The sequence below is a fragment of the Homo sapiens genome, chromosome 16 (assembly GCF_000001405.40).
Source record: "Homo sapiens chromosome 16, GRCh38.p14 Primary Assembly".
Classification (NCBI taxonomy): Eukaryota; Metazoa; Chordata; class Mammalia; order Primates; family Hominidae; genus Homo; species Homo sapiens.
Genome location: NC_000016.10, coordinates 5245653 through 5266956, shown reverse-complemented (window position 1 = coordinate 5266956; position 21304 = coordinate 5245653). Strand labels below are relative to the sequence as shown.

General features: G+C 45.9%; 1 protein-coding gene and 1 pseudogene across 4 annotated transcripts in view, besides 4 other annotated features; one reads left to right on the top strand and one right to left on the bottom strand.

Annotated features, from left to right (window-relative positions):
* RBFOX1 (RNA binding fox-1 homolog 1) overlaps nt 1–21304 on the bottom strand; it is a 2473620-nt gene that overhangs the window by 2446384 nt on the left and 5932 nt on the right. The gene's annotated exons all lie outside the window — the stretch shown is intronic.
* On the top strand, nt 5913–6281 carry LOC124903639 (40S ribosomal protein S24-like; annotated as a pseudogene).
* Nucleotides 13448–14114: an enhancer, noted in NCBI's record as "NANOG-H3K27ac-H3K4me1 hESC enhancer chr16:5302844-5303510 (GRCh37/hg19 assembly coordinates)". NCBI's record gives its function as "activates a minimal SCP1, AML or CMV promoter by ChIP-STARR-seq in naive H9 embryonic stem cells {active_cell/tissue: H9 hESC(naive)}" and the evidence as "EXISTENCE:reporter gene assay evidence [ECO:0000049][PMID:30033119]".
* Nucleotides 14115–14782: an enhancer, noted in NCBI's record as "NANOG-H3K27ac-H3K4me1 hESC enhancer chr16:5302176-5302843 (GRCh37/hg19 assembly coordinates)". NCBI's record gives its function as "activates a minimal SCP1, AML or CMV promoter by ChIP-STARR-seq in naive H9 embryonic stem cells {active_cell/tissue: H9 hESC(naive)}" and the evidence as "EXISTENCE:reporter gene assay evidence [ECO:0000049][PMID:30033119]".
* Nucleotides 15450–16118: an enhancer, noted in NCBI's record as "H3K4me1 hESC enhancer chr16:5300840-5301508 (GRCh37/hg19 assembly coordinates)". NCBI's record gives its function as "activates a minimal SCP1, AML or CMV promoter by ChIP-STARR-seq in naive H9 embryonic stem cells {active_cell/tissue: H9 hESC(naive)}" and the evidence as "EXISTENCE:reporter gene assay evidence [ECO:0000049][PMID:30033119]".
* Nucleotides 17207–18040: an enhancer, noted in NCBI's record as "H3K27ac-H3K4me1 hESC enhancer chr16:5298918-5299751 (GRCh37/hg19 assembly coordinates)". NCBI's record gives its function as "activates a minimal SCP1, AML or CMV promoter by ChIP-STARR-seq in naive H9 embryonic stem cells {active_cell/tissue: H9 hESC(naive)}" and the evidence as "EXISTENCE:reporter gene assay evidence [ECO:0000049][PMID:30033119]".

Sequence of the window (21304 nt, the reverse complement as noted above, 5' to 3'; positions counted from 1 at the left end):
ATGACCAATTTTTCTAAATGCTTTATTGAATTATTACTTAAAGAAATGTGCACATAGAAGAGGTCAACACAGTACTTTCCTTACAAACTGAACATACTGGCCAGGCGCAGTGGCTCATGCCTGTCATCCCAGCACTTTGGGAGGCCGAGGTGAGCAGATTGCTTGAGCCCAACAGCTCGAGACCAGCCTGGGCAATATAGTGAGACCCCCCCTCTCTGCAAAAAATAAATAAATACAAAAATTAGGCAAGAGTGGTGGCACATGCCTGTAGTCCCAGCTACTCCAGAGGGCTGAGGTGGGAGGACTCCTTGAGCCCAGGAGACAGAGGCTGCAGTGAGCCATGATCGTGCCACTGTGCTCCAGCCTGGGTGACAGAGAAAGATCCTGCCTCAAAAAAAAAAAAAAAAACTGAACATTTCCATATTACCAACACCCAGTTCAAGAAACAGAACATTACAGCCCCTTCCAGGATATTCCTGGGGTCTCTTCCATCTCTACTAACCCCTGACTACCAACAACCTCCACCTATTTCACCTGACATTGTCCTTTATGAGAGCAGCAGTTCTCAGATGGGGGCTATTATGCCCCCGGGGGACATTAGGCAATATCTGGGGACACTGGTGGTTGCCTGTACTTGGGGGGAGTTGTGTTACTGCATCCAGTGAGTCCAGGGATCCAGGGATGCCACTCAACATTCTAAAATGCACAGGGAACCCCCACACATACAACAGAGAAACTGCTGAGCCAAAATGTCAGCAGTGTCACAGCTGAAACCCTGACATACACACAATCACACAGTATCTGCTCTTTCGTGCTCAGGATCTCTTTCATTCTAGTCATCTCATAGGAAACAGAAATGTCATTTGGAGGCAGGTAGAGTCCAAAACAAAGAAAATCCAGAGTTTTTTTTTTAATCAGCCTGGTGCCTTTAGAGCTAGGATTTGGTTTCCATTCTTTCTGTCTCATTTTCAAGTGATTTTTCTTGAAATGGCATCTGCTGGGCTCAAGACCCGGAGATCCCCACAAAGCTGAGATTCACATGGGAATTTTGTACACACCCACACAGGTATACACCGCCATTTACATGCAGACATCCACCCACAGATACACACATCTGGAGACCAAGACAAAAGCAAACTCCACCATAAAAGCACAGTCCCCCGAACAGGAGAAACGCACCATTCACTCCAGAGAGGTACCTATTTGTTTAATTCAGCCTCTGATAGTCAGGCTGTTGCCAAGCCCAGCTCTGAAAGTCTTCCCCTCTAGGAAAGAGAGATGGATTTTTGCTTTACTCAAGAATATAGATCTAAAAAAAACAAACACTTCTGCATCTCAAAGCAAGCTCTACCTCCTGAGCTACACATATTGATCAGCATTTTATTGTCAATTTTCTTTTATTTGAACTGGAGAAAAATATAATCTAATTATGTTCTTACTGATAGTTGGGAATCAGTCACACTAAATCCAATTCTCTGGGTTCTCATGATTAAGGTGTTTAATTTGGGGGACAACAAAGCAAAAGCATTGGTCGTGTTTTAATATAATTGGTACAGAATATATCTAAGGGGTTCAAGTATCACTGTAGCAAGAAGCTCATTCTGCAGTAAAAGGTGGTTCTACCACTAGCATTGAGTTAGGGTGGTTCATGGCTGTACCGTTTTATCAATGTCTCTTCAAGAGTCCATGGAATGTGGAAGGGGAAAGACTGAAATAGTCCAAGTCTTGGCTAAGCTCCTATAAAGGGGTGTTAGGAGCTGATAAAATAACCTGGTCTTTACAGACATCCCACACTGTAGTTCTCTAAGCTACAGATTCTCAGATTTTTTCTATTTTATAAACCAGTAAAAATATTTTTTTAATTTGAGAACCAACATAAGGTTGCTATTTTTTTTTCTTTTTGGTAAGAAGGAACTTTTTTAAACTACCAGTTTTACACACACACACACACACAGAGAAATTCCACCATGATCAGTCAGAATAGGTTAGGTTTTGCTGCAATAACAACTCCTAAATCTTGGTAACTTCAAACATTAGAAGTTGTTTTTCTCACTTATGCTACATCTGCAGGGAGGTGTGGGGTGCTCTGTTTCCCATCAAACTTGCCCTAAGACTAAGGCTAATGGGGGTTGCATTACCTGGAGTATCACCAAGCAGGGAACAGAGGGAGAAGAATGCTAGAGAGCCCTGTACTAAGAATTAAAAGCTCCTAGCTAGAAGTCTCACACTGCACCTCTGCCCCCAGCCTACTGGCCAGTACTAGCCACATCCCCTCCCCCATCACAGGGCAATGCATGAAGACAGGAGAATTGGATACATGACAAATTTCTACCCCATGGCATTTCATAAAAGAGAAAAAATGCAAATACAAAAATGTTTTAATACAATAGAATATATACACTTTTACAATAAAGAACAATCCGCCAAAAAGGACAGCTGGTGGTCTTTCACCAATGGGCAGATTTCTGTGACATTTTCTCTGTTTTTCTATTTTATCCTTGACCCATGAACATTTTATACAGACGGTCCAAAGAACACCATTTGGGGACCACTGCTCTCATCAGGTGATGAAAACGGCCCCAAGAACAGAGCACAGTCTCCTTAGCAGGGCCAGGGTGACCACGTTCTCACCATCAATGCACAGACATCCAACTGCAGCATCCTCACATCCCAACATCAAACGGTGGCTCTTTATAGCTTGATTCTAATGCCCCTTGATCTTCATCATCACTGTAAAGCTCTCTGGCCCCGAGACCTAACATCGCCACTCTAGCTACATCCTGCAACTGTTCACCTCTCCTGCCTCCTCATCCCTCTAAACTTCTCTTCACAACCTCATGTTTCCTTCTTGCTTTACCTTCCTGCTCAGCCTGGATCTTACAGTCACCTTCTTCTTGTAATGTGCTCCTAAACTCGTTCTTCCCTGCCTTCAACCACACCCACCTGGAAAATCTCCATACCCCATTGATGACTTGCCTTGCAACTGCCCAAGGGCTGCTGAATGATACTGGAAAGAATCACAACATGGATATGGTAGTTCCACTAAATAATCTCACCATCCAACTCTATGGTAGACTTCACTTCTCTTCAGCAATATTTTTAACCATCACAAATAAATTCCAAACCATATTTGCTGTAACAATTGACTTTAAACCTCTTCTGTATCTCAAAGACCCCCAAACCCATCCCTAGGGGTTTCAGAGCCCACTCAGAGTTGAGTTCTCCCAAATCACTTCCATCTCACCCCTAGATCACTGTACCTTGACCCTCTTCCTCTGCCTTTCCCATCTCATAAGGAGAAGCATCCTTCTCCTTTCCCAAACTACCTTCTCCACTTGCACCTCATTTGAGACCTGCCTTTATCACCCATTCCCTTGGAACTCCCATGACTCACCACCTTCACTCCTCATTTCACTCATATTTTGCACCATGTATGTGCCAGGCGTTTAACACATAATCATACTTAAGTCTCCACATGCTAACAAGAAAAACCTTGATTATCCCTGCTATGCCCTCAAGTCATTACCCTCCCAGCTCCTTTCCTGTGTTCCCAAACTTTGTTGATCTTCATCAATCCCTCTGTTGCAGACAGCTCTGAAGTTTGCATCGCATTAGGTTGGTGCAAAAGTAATTGCAGATTTTGCCATTACAAGTAATGGCAAAAACAGCAATTATTTTTGTACCAGTTAAGTATCTTTTCTCCTTCTACCAAACTTTGTCCCTGAGTCATCTCATCACCTATAACTACCTCCTCCATGCAGTTGATTCCCATATCTGTATTATTCTACTGGAAGTCCATTCCCCACCTTTCTCGGCTAGAATAGCAGAAGCCCAATTAGAATTCATGCTACAAGTTTCCCACCACCACCACCACCACCACCACCGTCACCCTGCCATTGTTAGCAAAACCGTCTCTTCAGTGGAGCCCAAAGATTTGTAATGATCTCCCACTCCCCAGAAAGATAACTTCAGACTCAGCCTAGAAGTAAAGATCCTCCAGATATGGCCTCAACTACCCTCCAACCCATGTCCCCAGTGCATCCCTTTGATGCCCCCTTCAGTGGAGTTACAATGGAGTGAGTGTTTTTCTTTTCACATTCTCCTGGTGTTCTTCCAGAAATACAATTTTCACCTCTTGAATATTTTCAAGGATTCTCCATGCTACACACAGTGAAATCCAAACTCCCCATCAGCACCCCAGTCTTCCCAAACCCTCTTTGCACTTTTCTGCCTCCATGCTTTTCCTTGGGTCATCCTCTTATCTAATATAACCTTGTATATTACTCTGGGTTCTCCAGAGAAAGAGCAGAGAGATAGAGGTAGAGCTATACACCTAGAGAGAGACAGATTGATTTGTTGTAAGGCATGGCTCACATGGTTATGGAGGCTAAGGAGTCCTGGAGTCTGCAGCCAGCAAGCTGGAGACCCAGGACAGCCAATGATATAGTTCCAACTCGAGTCCACATCTAAACTCAGGAGAAGATTGATGTCCCAGCTCAAATATAATCAGGTAAAGAGAGCAAATTCTCTGTGACTCTACCTTTTTGTTTTGTTCAGGTCTTCAGTGGATTGGATGAGGCTCACCCACATTGGGGAGGACAATCTGCCTTATTCAGTCTACCAATTAAATGTTATCCTCATCCAGAATACCTCAGAGATACATCCAGAATAACGTGTAGCCAAATATCTGGGCACCCCACAACCCAGTCAAATTGATACATAACACTAACCATCATGTCTTGCTTCTACTCTCTCCCCGTTACTGCATGTCCAAATCCTTCCCTTATTTCAAGGCTTAGTTCAAATGTTACCTCTTAACTAAGCCTTCCCTGCTAACCCCAAATATTAATAGAATTAGTTGCTCCCTTCTCTGATATCTCAAAATACGTTGTGTGTTTCTTTTACTGTATTTATTACAAACTCCCTTATAAATCAAGACAGTGATTCCCAGACAAATTATCAAAAGAGTATAAAAGAAGTCTTCTTTGAGTGTGAAATATCTCATGGAATATAGCACATGGCCTCTTCATGAAGAAACTACTGGGAGAGAAGAAGACAAGATGCAAGAGGCCAGGGAAAGGGGGTTACTACAAAGCACAATGAGGCTGGGCTTATACGGTGGCTCACACCTGTAATCCCAGCATTTTGGGAGGCCCAGGCCAGCGGATCACGAGGTCAGGAGATCGAGACCATCCTGGCTAACACGGTGAAACCCCGTGTCTACCAAAAATACAAAAAAATTAGCCAGGCATGGTGGCAGGCGCCTGTAGTCCCAGCTACTCAGGAGGCTGAGGCAGAAGAATGGCATGAACCCGGGAGGCGGAGCTTGCAGTGAGCTGGGATCACACCACTGCACTCAAGGCTGGGTGACAGGGAGAGACTCCAACTCAAAAAAAAAAAAAAAAAACCATACACACAGTGAAATGTCAGTGGATGGGTGCCTATAATTTCTAAGGAAAACAGAATATAATCCAAGAATTTTATAGCCAACTAAATTACTGCCCAATCAAAATAGGCAAAAGACACTATCACATGTTCAAGAACTTAGAGAATACAGTATTTCTGAGCTCTTTAAAAAAAACAGTCTTCATAATAAAATTTAGTCAGCCAAGAAATTAAAAAATAAGCAACTTGTGAATTGAATGACCATGACAAAAGGCCAGTGATGAGAGGTGAATCCATTTAAAAATAGGACTATGATTGCAGAACAGAAAGAAAAGGTGGTCAACCTTAACAACATAAAACAACCTAGAAATAACTAGTTTCCAGAGGTAAAGGGAGGGACTGTAGGAAGTAGACGTGCTAATGCCCTTTATTAAGTCAATTAATCAGGTCTAAAATTGAAACGTGGTTTTAAATATATAACTTCTTGTTTATTTTCCTCCCTAACTACCTGAGGATCAGCCACCATGATGAATGACAAAGTAACTATCTGGACCCGGAAGTTCATGACCAATCGACCGCTCCAGAGGAAACAAATGGTCACCAATGTCCTTCACCCCGGGAAGGCAACTAAATGTACAAGACCACAATGGGTGTCATCTTCATATTAATATTTGGACTCAGAACCCATTTTGATGGTGGTTAAACAACGGGCTTTGGCATGTTATCTGGTTCTTTGAATTATGCAAAGAAAAATGAACTCAAACGTAGACTTGCAAGACACAGCTGGCATGAGAAGAAGATGACCTCAAGAAAACAGCAAAAGGAATGCAAGGGCAGAATGACGTCAAGAGACTGCAAAGGCCAATGTCGGTGCTGTCAAAAAGCAAAAGGAGTAAAGATTTTGCAATGACTTTATTTGCAGTGACTGTACAAATTTTTCATGAGATGGTCAGTCAACTGTAAAGACTTCTACATATATATAAAACATCTTAATATTTTTCACCACCTTTGGTTTCTTAGATGTTCTAGAAACTGATTTTTGCTAAGAAAAAACTACATTTATCTGAGTTGACCAGTTCCTTCAGTTTCACTTCCATTTCTTTTTCTTCTGATAAATTTACACAGCATTCAATTTGCTACTTCTTGTTTTTAAAATCTCATTTTGTGTGATCAGAAGTGTCTCTTCATGTCTCTAGCCATCTTTGTGCATAGCAAGGAATGCTGCTCACTTAATATTAGGAGGTTTATTTCTTGGGGTCGTGAGATTTGGGGTGATTTCTCTCTCTTTTTGTACTTTTCTGTATTCATTAATTTTTTTGAGACTATGTCACCAATGTCCTTCATATTAATATTTGGACTCAGAACCCATTTTGGTGGTGGTTAAACAATCGTCACCCACATTGGAGTGCAGTGGTATGATCTCAGCTCACCAAACCTCCACCTCCCAGGCTTAAGCGATTCTCCTGCCTCAGCCTCCCACGTAGCTGGGATTATAGGCATGCACCATCATGCCTGACTAATTTTTGTATTTTTAGTAGAGACAAGGTTTCATCATGTCGTCCAGGCTGGTCTCAAACTCTCGGCCTCAAGTGATCTGACCACCTCAGCCTCCCAAGTGCTAAGATTACAGGTGTGAGCCACCGTGCCCAGCCTCCTCACTTACACTTTTACAGAAGATCTGATCATACCCACTCCGCAGAAGTCAGAATGGCCCCCACGTGGTGTTAAACAGGAGTGAAAACTTGAGTTCAATCAACTGAGGGTGACACAGAAACATTTCCCACAAAACGCTTTTGGCAGCTCTGCTGATCCATAACCCGGCTCCATTTCAGGGCAAGACCTCCACTTAAGCTGCACTGGCTTCCACTAGAATAAATCACATTAACTCATGACAAACACAACTGAAGGGCAAAAAGATTCTTCTTAAAATGATTTTTGTCTCTCACTTACCAACACACGCTGGCCTCCCTAGAGCCTCACTCCATTCAGCACCTGTTCCACTGAGCACCCACTGAAAGCTCACTTCACAAGCTGAAATGACCCAGACATCAAGGAGTTTACAATCCAGGGGAAGAACAGACCTGAATGCAAGTGATGACAATACAAGATGGAGTCAAAGAGCCCAGCTTGAAGTTTCAGCAGAATAGCACCAAAGACTAGTTCCCAACCCAGCTCCCAGAGCCAGAGCCAGAGCCAGGCTGGCTGCATGAGATCAGCTGGGAGCTTTTGCAAACATAGGTCCTAGCTGAGCCCCTAATCATCAAACTGTCTGGGAGTGAGCTCCAGGAATTGGTGTATTTAATAAGCACCCACACACACATAATTCTGATGTTCCTAAGGGTTGTAGAAACATGGAACTATGGAAAACACTAAAAAAAAAAAGGCACTAAAAGAAACCTATAAATATTCATTACTGTCCCAGGCATCATGAGGACACTCCATGTGCACTATTTCCAATACTTACAATAACCTGCAAGGATTCATTCATGACAATGGGCTTTATCAGCATCAGAGCCAGCCCTGGGAATGCTTGAACCTGCGCTGAAGGTCACCCCCTCCTCCCCACAGGAGGGGGCTAACATTAAGGAGCAGGGGCCAGATGGGAAATGGAGTGTGCTTTTATTATAAGACCACAGTGAGAGACTTCTTTTTTTTTTTTCAGAGATTCGTTCTTGCCACCCAGGCTGGTGTGCAGTGGTGCAATCTTAGCTCACTGCAACTTCCACCTCCCGGCTTCAAGAGATTCTCCTGCCTCAGCCTCCCGAGTAGGTGGGACTATAGGCGCCTGCCACCATGCCCGGCTAATTTTTGTATGTTTAATAGAGATAGGGTTTCACCATGTTGGTCAGGATGGTCTTGAACTCTTGACCTCGTGATCCGCCTACCTTGGCCTCCCAAAGTGCTGGGATTACAGGTGTGAGCCACCACGCCTAGCCTGAGACTTTCAAGTAAAGCCACAATGGACCACAGAGCTTAGACATCAGGGCTAATATGGAATCTCTGTCATTAAATCTTGAGATCTTATTATCTTTGCTCAAAGAAAAAAATAATCACAATTTACATTTTGAGGACAAGACATCTGAATGTAAACTCGATCTTAGAGGATATTAAGGAATTACTGGTAATTTGATTAGGTATGACAATGATCATATAAAAAATGCCCTCATGTTTTTAGAGGGAAAGTAAATTACATAGGGGTGAATATCATGAAGCAATTACATAACTACTGTAAACTATTTTTTAAATACTTCAGAAAAACAAATGGAGTAAATATTGCAAACGTTAATAGTTTTTATACTTATGTGATGGGTATATGATAGCTCATTAAACTAGTCGCTCTACTTTTATGTATATTGAAAATTTTTCATAATAATAATAATAAAAAACCTTGGCCAGGCACAGCAGCTCATGCCTATAATCCCAGCACTTTAGGAGGCCGAGGTGGATGGAGGACTGCTTGAGCCCAGGAGTTTGAGACCAGCCTAGGCAACATGGTGAAACCTCATCTCTACAAAAAATAGACAAATTAGTCAGGCAAGGTGGTGTGCACCCGCAGTCCCAGCTACTCAGGAGGCTGAGGTGGGAGGATCACCTGAGCCCAGAAGGTCAAGGCTGCAGTGAGCCAAGGTCACACCACTGCACTCCAGCCTGGGTGACAGAGTTAGACCCTGTCTCAAAGAAACAAGCAAACAAAAACCCTCTTGATCCCATTTCCCCCCCACCCCAAAAAAATGATTTTTTTGAGATCTGACCGTCTCCCGGCTTGGTGCAGAGTAGAGGAAGTCGAGACAAAGTACAACACACAAGGAATGGGCAGGGAGGGAAGCGTGGGGGAGGCTGACACTGGGGACTCTCCCAGCTCAGTCGACCCATGCGCCTTGCTTCATGGAAGAAAGGAATGGAAGATGAGTCATGCCTTTAACACACAGTGATCTTCCTCACTAGTAAATGCGCCTCCAGAAGTGTCCAAGAACTCAGCGCCAGAGACAGGCTGGCTGCATGAGAATCACCTGCGAGCCTTTGCAAACGCAGGCCCCTACTGGGTCCAAACGTATTCATCTCTTGGAGAGGAGGAGAGAGGCAGAACAAGGAAAAGGATGGGAAGAAACCAGCCTTGTGCACAGGAGGATGCTGGGATTCCTCCTGCACGTTTACAGCAATGCAGCCTACTTTACAAGGTCACAGAAGCTCAGAGAGGTAAACCTGCCCAGGTTCTCATAGCATGTAACTGGCAAAACCTGCCCAAATCTCTGTCTCTAGAGATATTTCCACTTGCTTCAACTCTGGAGCTGTCTTAGTTGTAAAGATGACAGATTCCACTCATCACTCACGTTTGTTTGCAGATATTGCCTAAGGTCCCTTGTGAATATTTAGGTCAGGGCTGTTTTTTTTTGAGTTTTCTGTTTGTTTGTTTGTTTCTTGGTTTTTTTACAAAGCAATCTTGTGGAAAGAACCCAAAGTGGCTCCCCCATTTAAGACCCTGTAAACAGGGAGACCAGAGTCTGGAGTCCTGGTCTGGTTTCCACACCTTCCTTAGATTTCCCTGTGTGTAAAATCCAACAACAATCTTTGACAAATTGCCTCCCCCAGGAGAGAGATGGAGGAAGTGTTAACTTTGCTTTTTTTTTTTTCTTTTTTCAGACAGAGCCTCACTCTGTCACTCAGGCTGGAGTGCAGTGGCGCCATCTCAGCTCACTGCAAACTCTGCCTCCTGAGCTCAAATGATTCTTGTGCCTCAGCCTCCCGAGTAGTTGGGACTACAGGCAGATGCCACCACACCGGGCTAATTTTTGTACTTTTAGAAGAGGCAGGGTTTCGCATATTGGCCAGGCTGGTATCGAACTCCTGGCCTCAAGTGATCCAACCCCCTCAGCCTCTCAAAGTGCTAGGATTACAGGCATGAGCCACCATGCCCAGCCACTTAGCTATTTTTTTTAATAGAAAGCTTCGAGGTCCAGTATGATTTCACAGATTAGGAAACATCACAGGCAAAGAAGAACACTTTGCATTCAAATAGCAGAATGTTTTCATTTTCAAAGAGCTCTCATCTGCCATCTAATCTTGCCTTCCTAGCAGTCCTGGGAGAGAAGCAGATGTGGTTTCCAATCCCACTTTCCAGAAGAGGAGACTGAGGCAGAGGCTTTGCAGACACACAGAGGACATGTGAGGACAGGTGAAGGTCATGGTCATTGTCAGCCCCCTCCCCGAACTTGACATTCCCAGATCTGGTGGACTTCCAGCCAGAGGAGACAGAAGGACTGGATCACTCAACTCTGCCATGGGTGCCAGGACCCAATTTTTCCCTGGCTAACTCGGTCACATCCTGTCTGGGATCTCCAACTACTACCCATCCCACAAGTCTCAGCTAAAACAGCAATTCAATGGGGAACTTTTTTCTGAGTCTCCAGGATTGGGCCAGGCCCTCTCCATGGCTCTCTGCCCTTCCCCTCCTGCAAAACTTAGCACCTGTATGTCACTACTGGTTCAAATATGTGTCTTTCGTATGTTCTCCACGTTATCTGCAGCATCTGCCAAGAATAATAATGAATAGTAAAACCTAATCTCTATTGAGTGTCGATGATGCACTTTTAATGTGACATCTTATTTAATCCTCACTATATCTGCAAGACTAGAAGCTATTAATAGCCAATTTTCAGATAAGAAAATCAAAGCACAGTTTCTGTAACTTACCCAAGCAGCTAGCTAGGAGGCAGCTCAGTTTGAGCCCAGGGAATCATATTCCAGAGACCGTGTTCTCAATTACTAGAGCAGATACCTCCCCAGAATCTAGCAGGTGGTTAACGAGTCTTTGTGGAATAAATGAACAGAAGTACAAGCAGATGGATGGATACGTACATGGATGGATAGATAGGTGGGTGGATGGATAGATGGGTGGGTGGGCAGGTGGACGAATGAATGGATGGTTGAGTCGGTGAAGGGATGGTTGAGTGGGTGGAGAAATGGATGAGTGGGTGAATGGGTGGAGGGATAGATAAATGGATGGACGGGTGGGTGGATAGATGGTTAGATGAGTGAATGGGTGGATAGATGCATGGGTAAGTAGATGGATAGATGGTTTGGTAGGTGGTTAGGTGGATGATAGCTGGGTGCACAAGAGAGTGGATTGGATGGATAGATGGGTGGGTGGGTGGATAGATGGGTAGGTGGGTGGATGGATGTATGCATGTCTGGATGGATGGATGGATGGATGGATGGAGGGATGGATGGATGGATGGATGGATGGATGGAAGGAAGTGTGGACGGATAGGCGGACAGATGAGCAGGTGGACTTGAGCATTTATCCGGGGTCCTCCAAAGAATTGAGTGATTTTCCTAGGGTGTGTCATCACCTGCAGGTGGGTGGGCAAGGGGGCTTGCCTCTGTAATACTCATGATTATGGGTAATGGTCAGCCTTAGTCACCACCCTCAGAACACTTTATTGACTAGGAAAGTCAAAACTGGCATTGACAACTAATGCAAATTACAGCTATAACTAACAGAAGATGTTGATCTGATGACAGCTGGGCAACCAATAATCAACTGGCTGTGTCACGTTACTGCCATGCTGGGCAGGTAGAGCCAGGGGTTCCTTAATCCCTCCATCACATTGAGGATGCTTATCAAGACTTCCCCAACAGTGGGGACAGAGATCTTATCAAATACTTGCAGTTCACCCCAAAAGGCTCACCCTCTTCGCTCCACCTACACATGACCTTCAGCTCAAAGACATTTCCAGGCCTCCAGGTCAGCCCTTCTTCCAGCCTTTGAATTAATCCTAATGACTGCCTGCCCACTGGGTATCTTCACCTGTCATCACACAGCCTTTTCCAACACTGTCCTTCAATCCAGCCCTCACTAAACGCTGGAACTGTTGTTGACAAAATCCAGAACAAGCTGGGTGGGGGATGCAGGTGGGAAGCAGGCTGTAGTAATGGGGAAAATTTCTAAGCAATCTCGAACAGAGAAAAGAAACTGAACAGGTAAGAGAGAGGCAGTCAAGAGAAGTGTTAATTTTGCATAACTGAAGCTGAAGATCGGGGGGCATGGCAGACCACAAGATAAATATGATACAGACTCCTTTTTAAAAAAGTGTAAACATCCACCCTTTCCTACTGACAACTAAGGTCTTTACTAAAGGCGAGTCAGAAAAACTGGTATTTTATGGAATACAGTAAGAAGGCCCACAGACAAGTATGTTCCTGACACCATCTTCTAGCATAACCCCTGGGATTCTGGGTACACCTGTCCTAAAGTTGTCTCTCACTCCTGCTGTTGGAGAACTACTGTGAGAGAAGAACCATGGTGAAGTGGTTAAGAGTGTGCACCCAGCGACCAGCCAGGTGGCTTCAAACCATCACTATCTAATACTGAGCAAGTTACATAATGTTCCTGAGCCTCAACTTTCTCATCTGTAAAATGGGCATGCCATCTTTTATTAATCAAATTCTAGGTGAGCATATACTAAACACTAGAGACACAAATGAGAATCAGAAACAGGCATGGACCTGGCCCTCACAGTGACCACAGTCTTGAAGGGGAAGGATGACACACACAGAAGTAGGAAGCTGTACCTGAGCTAGTGTCTACCACAGAGAGGTACCTGGTGTCATGAAAGCAGATAATAGGGGGTTGCTGTGACTGAGTCAGTGTGGCCAGGCTTCCCTGAGGATGTAGTGACTCCACTGTCAGATGAGACCATGACCAGGTGAAGAGGCAGGGAGAGGGAAAATCTTTCCAGGCAGCAAGAGCAGGATGTGCAAAGGCCCTGTGGCAGGAAAAGAGCAAAGGAAGTGCAAGAGCCTGAAAGAGGCCAGAGAGAGCAAATGAACATGTGGATAATCACAGCACCCACCTCATACAGGACTTGCAAGAAATTGAGACCCTGTCTGTAACAGATTCAGCAATGACTAAATAGAAACTATCTCCTAAAAGCACAGGATGAGGCTCATTGGTGGTATTTCCCACGTGAGGCTGCCACGGACTCAGAGGCCAAGTTCAACCTGCCTGTAGACAACCTCCAAGCCAGCTGGACACATATACACCCTCAGGCTCAGTATACCCAGGACAGAGTCCTAGATGCTTGAAGTCATGATAAGTATCCAGAATGACACAGAATTCCAGCCAGGCATGGTGGCTCACGCCTGTAATCCCAGCACTTTGGGAGGCCGAGGTGGGTGGATCACCTGAGGTCAGGAGTTCAAGACCAGCCTGGCCAACATGGTGAAACTCCCTCTCTACTCAAAATACAAAAAAATTAGCTGGGTGTGGTTGTGGGTGCCTCTAGTCCCGGCTACTCAGGAGGCTGAGACAGGAGAATCGCTTGAACCCGGGAGGCAGAGACTGCAGTGAACCGAGATTGCACCATTGCACTCCAGCCTGGGCAACAAAAGTGAAATTCAGTCTCAAAAAAGAAAGAAAGAAAAAAAAAAAGAATGACACAGCATTTGCTAAAGGGGAGAAAGGGCTTTCTTCCAAAGCTGAGCCTGGTTTCTACAGAGAGTCTTTCAGATGAAAATTAAGCGGCTCTTTGCGAGCACCTCAGAGGAGAACCCCTCACGCTGATGAATCAGGCACACCGGCGGTGGATCCAAGACAATTGGCTGCGTGCATGTGAACAAGCTTATGGTGGAAATGCAGTGCTTTATTTGTTTGGGGTGGTTTAATCACCAGGAGGGAGAAGCTTCTAAAGCAGCACTCAGAGGTGGCTGTTGCCTGGGTTTTCTGGAAGGGGGAGGTGGTGGGGATGAGGGCTTCCGTTTCATCTGCAGGCCCCTTGCAGAAGGAGCTGGGGAAAGCTTTGCAGCCATCTGCACACTGTTTGCCATCTTGTCTGGCTGGGCAGCCGAGCTCCAGATGGGGGCGGATGGGATAGCTCTTGCCACCGTATTTGGAGAGAGATGGCAGGGAAGTCATCCCCCGTGAAGAAGACAGGAGCAGGCAGGTGCTGGACAGTGCTGCCCAGGCCCCTGGGGCTGAAGTGTCCAACCCCACAGCCTCTAGGTGCCACTAAAGCAGCCCAAGAGGATCTTCTCTGTCCATCTCCATCCTGGCACCTACAGACACCTGGAGAGAGTCCTTCACATGGGAACTCACAAATGCACACTGATAACCCCCACACGGAACTCTCATACGTAGCAAGTGAAAAGACAGGATGCCAGTTAAACTTGAATTGCAGATAAACAACAAATCATTTTTTAGGGTAAGTAGGTCCCAAATATTGCATGGGATATACTTGCCCCCCAAAGAAATGGTTAATGAGAAATTCAGGTTTAACTGGACCTCCTGGAAAGCCTAACCCTGCATAAATACAACCTAGAGCTTGAAACTCACAGAGAAACCACAGCCGTGCTCACACATGTGCACAAACCCATATGCCTTAGAGAGTCAAGGGCTGTGATGAGGGTCCCCACCCTTCCACACTTCCCTGTCCTCTGTCTGGGCTCAGAGTAAACAGAGGGTCACCTGGCATCCAGGTCTAAGCTGGGCTTGGAGGTGTCCTAATGAAGCAGGATGCTGACCTGCACTTCCCCAGCTCAGCGGGGGCTACAGCCAGGCCTAGCTTCCAGTCTCAGGCCTAGAATACACAGCACAGCCCCAGACCTTGGCAAGAAGACTTCATCTCAAAGGTCACTGGTTCAGGACCTATTAGGAGCCCCACTTCTTCTTTTTTTTTTTAAACTTGAAGTTAATTCCATTTAATTTATAGCTTATTTTATAATAGTATTTTATTAAGCTATTAATTTACATATAGTAAAATCACAAATCTAAACATACAGCATGAGGAATGTTGACACATGTTGCAGCTACACAACCATCATCCAGATCAAAATACAAAACATTTCAATCACCCCAGAAAATTTCCTCAGGCCCCTTTTCCATTCAATTTGAATTCCCCGCCCTCACTCCAAGCAGCCACTGTTCTGGTATCTATCATCAAATGCTAGTTTTGCCTGGAAGTGGCTTTAATATAAAAGTAATTAGATAGTATGTTATGTCTGAGAAGCCCCACTTCTTTCCTCTGTTTCTGCTGCCATTGCCCCAGTCTCTGACCCTGCCACTCAATCACTCTATAAACACAGCAGGTACTAGGGGTGGCTCTGGGCTCGGCACTAAGACAATGCCCCCGGTAAAGCCACAGTCTAGCAATGACAGTCAACCACGTATCAGCAACAGCCCTGCCCCACACGTGCTGACTGCGCACAAGGCCGGCGCCGTGAACGTGCTGTCAACAGTGATCTCACTGAACCCTCATGGCAGCTCTAGGATGCAGACAGTAGTATCACATTATCCCCATTTTACTTTTGAGGAAACTGAAGAAGGCAAAGGCAGGCCTCGAGATCTGCAGTAACATTGCCAGGAATGTTTGAGAAAGCAAACTTCTCCAGAGTGAGGCAGTCTGCCAGAGCTCGGAAGCCAGAGTCCCTGTTAGCAGGGGCTGGGGGGACCGTTAGCAGGGTCTGCGGGGACAAGTGGGTAGGGGCTGGGACCCCCCCACCCCAGGACACCGAGGTGCAGATTAGTGTGAATAAAAGAAAGAGGGGCGGTCGTGCCATCATCTGCAGAAGATGATGTCTACAGAGGACAGTACCATGTGAGCCCTGGGGGAGCCGGATGACTGGATGGAATTTTGCACAGGATGCAAATTGAGCACAGATCCCCCTCTGATCCAGACAGCCCACCTCCAGGAACATCTCACAGAAATGCAGGCACAGAGCACCAAGTGATGTGTGTGAGGAAATTCATCAGAACACCGTCTGTGACTGGGAAAAGGCGGAAACCATCCACAGACGTATCGGTGCAGGGCTGGTTAAACGAAGCGTGGTGCATCCACACGTCAGAATACCTGCTGGGAGAAGAAGGTGGTATACCCAGGTTCCAACGTGAGACAATGTCAAAGACACGCTGCCTGAAAAGCAGGCTTTCCGAAGAATGAATATAGCATTATTCCATTTTTATTTTTTTAAAAAGGTTACAATAAGCACTTATGTGCAAATACATGTGCTTGCGTGCACAGAGGAAAAAGGTGTGGACAGGAACAGAAAACCAAACACTGTGTGTTCTCACTCATAAGTGGGAGTTGAACAATGAGAACACATGGACACAGAGAGGGGAACAACATACACCAGGGCCTGTCGGGGGTGAGGGACAAGGGGAGGGAGAGTGTTATGACAAATACCTAATGCATGCGGGGCTTAAAACCTAGATGATGGGTTGATAGGTGCAGTAAACCACCATGGCACATGTATACCTATGTAACAAACCTGCACATTCTGCACATGTATCCCAGAACTTAAAAAATAAAAAGAAAAGAAAAAGATGTGGAAAGGTATACCCCAACCCTCCCCAGTGTTACCTCTGAGAAGCAAGATCAAGAAAAGCAAATCAAAAGGAAGTTTTGCTTTTTGTTTTCTATATAAATTCTTTTTTCTTTTTTTTTTTGTTGAGACACAGTCTCGCTCTATTGCCCAGGCTGGAGTCCAGGGACACAATCTCGGCTCACTGCAACCTCCTCCTCACTACAACCTCCTCCTCACTGCAACCTCCTCCTTACTGCAACCTCCTCCTCACTGCAACCTCCTCCTCACTGCAATCTGCTCCTCACTGCAACCTGCTCCTCACTGTAACCTCCTCCTCACTGCAACCTCCTCCTCACTGCAACCTCCTCCTCACTGCAACCTGCTGCTTCTGGGTTCAAGCGATTCTCTTGCCTCAGCCTCCCAAATAACTAGGATTACAGGTGGGCACCACCAAGCCCAGCTAACTTTTGTATTTTTTGTAGAGACAGGGTTTCACTATTTTGGCCAAGCTGGTCTCGAATTCCTGGCCCGCCCACCTTGACCTCCAAAAGTGCTGGGAATACAGGTGTGAGCCACCACACCTGGTCTGCATTGCTTGAATTCTTTACAAATGAACAAATAATAATTTGTATTTTTAATAAGCAGAACAAAAACTAACAAATTATACTCAGACCACATAGACCCTCTCAGCTGGCCCAATTCCAAGAGTCCAAGGCAGGAAAGGCAGAAGGCAGGGGCTTACCCCCACATCAGGACAACATAGAACAGAGTCAGAAAAGAAAAACATGAATGGATCAGTCAAGAGGGCCGTGCACGTCCCCTCCCAGGCACCTACACCTTGCAACTTAAGCCGACAGGCTTTCAAGCCACAGAGTCTTCCTCCCCAGAGACTAGCAAGGACACAAGCCCCGGCCAGGCCCCTCCAGGAGGACGGTCTGAGGGACAAGGTGGGGGGCACAGTCAGGGGTGGCAGGAGGAAAGGGGGACACGAAGCCAAGGAAACCAGGGCACCCCATCCTTCCTGAAGGCCCCCAGAACAGGGTGCCACACAGAGCCCCTGCGTACCTGTTTCTACAACAGCCTGAACACAAGGAAAAGGAAAACACACAAAGCGCAGCCTCACCTGGAGCAGGTTAAATAAAGGTGTGTGACTTTGTCTTCATGTCCTTTGGAACTGGAAATCCAAGCTTCCTCTTCCGTGCCTTTAAGGTCCTGGCTGCTGCCCCACAGCCCCCTTCTCTTCCCTCCTCCTCTTGTCCTCTTTTTTTTTTTTTTTTTTTTTTTTTGAGATGGAGTCTTGCTCTGTTGTCCAGGCTGGAGTGCACTGGCACAATCTCAGCTCACTGCAACCTCCACCTCCCGGGTTCAAGCAATTCACGTGGCTCAGCTTCCCGAGTAGCTGGGATTATAGGTGTCCACACATCGCCCAGCTAATTATTGTATTTTTATTAGAGACAGGCTTTCAACATGTTGGCCAGGCTGGTCTCAAAGTCCTGACCTCAGGTGATCCCCCACCTTGGCCTCCCAAAGTGCTGGGATTACAGGTGTGAGCCACCGTGCCCGGCCCTCTTGTCCTAACTCTGCCATCTCTTTGCAGTCTCCCCCGAACAGCTTTTCCTGGGCACACCCTGCACCCCCTTTCAGAGCTGCACTCTCAGACCACCCCCCAAGCGCTCCACGGCCCTGGCTCCTGCCCCGGGGCTCTGATCCTCAGCTGGTGAGGTCTAGAGGGTCAGAGGGAGCCTTAGAGAAGCTAAGGCAGGAACCCTGTGCTAGGCTGTGGGTGACCTGCCCCCTTCCAGCTGCGGCCGAATAGAAGGGGAAAGGCTGCCCCCAGAATACAGGGCTCTCAGAGGCCCTGGGGATCTGGGCTGGCAGTCAGGAGGACTGTCACCTCAGTGCAGTTGCCTGCAAGGAAGGCTGTGCAGGAAGCTGCATGTGGCTCAGAGAACAAAAAAAGGAAATTAAATGCACCATCTGGTTATTAGCAAGAGCTTTTGAGGCAAACACTTAAATATGCATGCTTAGACATTATAAAACTTGGGGGAAATGTTAATTTCCATAACGCCAGTTGTTGTGCTCGCAGAAACCATTCTTTTATCTCCCTTCCTAGTAATTTGGGGGCTCCATCCCTCAGAGTGGCAGCGCCAAGACAGCCGGCCTCACTGGGTTTTGTAAGCTGTGCGAGGTGAGATCCCAAGCCCTTGCCTGGAGACCCATCTTAGGAAAATGTTAGAACAGGGCAACAAGTTGCCATTTCCTCCCTCCTTTCTCTTCCCCATACAAAAATCGAAAAGCACCCTAGCCCAGTGCCCAGCCACATGGTGAGGAAACCCCACTCAAAATCCTGGGTTGTGCCCCTGATACCAAAGACCTGCAGAATTGGGACTCACCTGCTCCAACCCTAGCCCAGACCTGTGTACATTTCAAGGGTGGCTGGACTCATGGCCGCCTGGGATGTCAGGGTGGTACAAAGTCCTCTTAACCTAAGACTGTCGGGGTACAAGGCTCAGCATTTTTTTTGTTTCTCTCGAGGGCCAGATGGTAAATAGTTCAGCATTGCAGGCCATAGGTCTCTGTCGCAACTATTCAACTCTCCAATGTAGCAGGAAAGCAGCCACAGACAATATGCACTGAAATAGGTGTGGCTGTGTTCCAATAAAACTTTATTTGTATGAACAGGCAGGGGGCTGTCTCTGGCCTGTGGGCTGTAGCCTGCCTCCTCTGCTACAGCGTGATCTCCAAGGACCCATCCATCTTGTAGACCAGCAGCTGGCACACAGGAGCTGCTCAGATACTTGAAGGAGGAATGGAGAAGGCAAGCAGCCCCCAGTGCACAGATGTGAGGGTCTCCCAGCAGCACCATCCTTTGCCATCTCATGCGGAGGGACAAAGCCAGGGCAGGGCTCTCCACCAAGGCTGGATTCTCCTCCAAGGAAATGTGATAACAGGACAGAAAGCATCGTGGAAGGATAGGGGCTTTGGAGTCCCACAAACCACAGTTTGCAAGACCAGGAGCATCCTGCACTTCCTTGCACACATCCTGGGTGGGTGCTAGAGCATCTAGACTTAGAGTGAATCTTTTCCCCCTCCTCCCCCAACTGGCCTCCATTATACTTCCAGCAACAATGTGGTGTATGTACACAATGGAATACTATTCAGCCTTCAAAAAGAAGGAAATCCTGCCATTTGAGACAACATGGATGAGCCTGGAGGATATTACGTTAAGTGAAATAAGCCAGGCACAGAACGACAAATACCACCTGATCTCACTTATATGTGGAATCTAAAAACGTTGAACTCAGCGAGGCATGGTGGCTCATGTCTGTAATCCCAGCACTTTGGGAGGCTGAGGCCGGCAGATTGCTTGAGCCCAGGAGTTCAGGACCAGCCTGCATAACATAGCAAGACCCCATCTCTACAAAAAATACAAAACTTAGTGGAGCGTGGTGGTGCATGCCTGTACTCCCAGATACTCAGGAGGCTGAGGTGGAAGGATTGATTGAGCTTGGGAGGCCAAGGCTGCAGTCAGCCAAGATCACACCCCTGCACTACAGCCTGGGCAATAGAATGAGATTGTCTCAAAAAAAAAAAAAGAAAGAAAAAGAAAATTAAAAAGTTTAATTCATAGAAGCAGAGTAGAATGATGGTTGTCAGGGTGGGGAAGTGGGCAGATGCCAAAGGACACAGAATGTCATTTTTAGAGAGGAAGAATAAGTTCAAGAGATCCATGGGACAACATGGTACCTACAGTTAATAACAACATATCATACACTTGGAAATCACTAAGAGAGTAGATTTTTTAAGTGTTCTCACCACAAAAAAATAAGTCGAGGAGGTGATATGTTATTTAGCTTGATTTAGCCATTTTGTAATGTATACATACTTCAATCACATCATGTTGTATACCCTCTTGTACATACTTTTTGTCAATTCAATAAATTCAACAACTCCAAAAAACAAGATACTCTCTTTACAAAAATAATTATTAAAAATAAAATTCAGAATTTTATTTATTTACTTATTTTGAAACAGAGTCTCGCTCTGTCACCCAGGCTGGCTGAAGTGCAGTGGCGCGATCTCGGCTGACTGCAACCTCTGTCTCCCAGGTTCAAATGATTCTCCTGCCTCAGCCTCCCAAGTAGCTGGGATTACAGGTGTGTGCCATCACACCTGGCTAATTTTTGTATTTTTAGTAGAGACAGTTTCGCCATGTTGGCCAGGCTGGTCTTGAACTCCTGCCCTTGGGTGATCCGACGGCCTCGGCCTCCCAAAGTGCTGGTATTACAGGTGTGAGCCACTGGGCCCGGCCAGAATATAAAAGATTGCTTAATTCAACTAAAACATTAAAACACAGATTATTTCTATAAGTGGTAATTTCTCTAATATGTTTTGGTCAAAATAGTCTCCTTACCCATCCACGATTAAATGGTTAATTGACATTTGATTGGATTTTGATGAAGTTTTCAAATCATGATTGACTTTTCCAATGTATAGTAAAATGTGTTTGAAAATATTTCATAAAAATTAATATTTAAAAATGGTCAGGCATGGTGGCTCATGCCTATAATCCCAGCACTTTGGGAGGCCAAGGTGGGCCGATCACTTGAGGTCAGGAGTT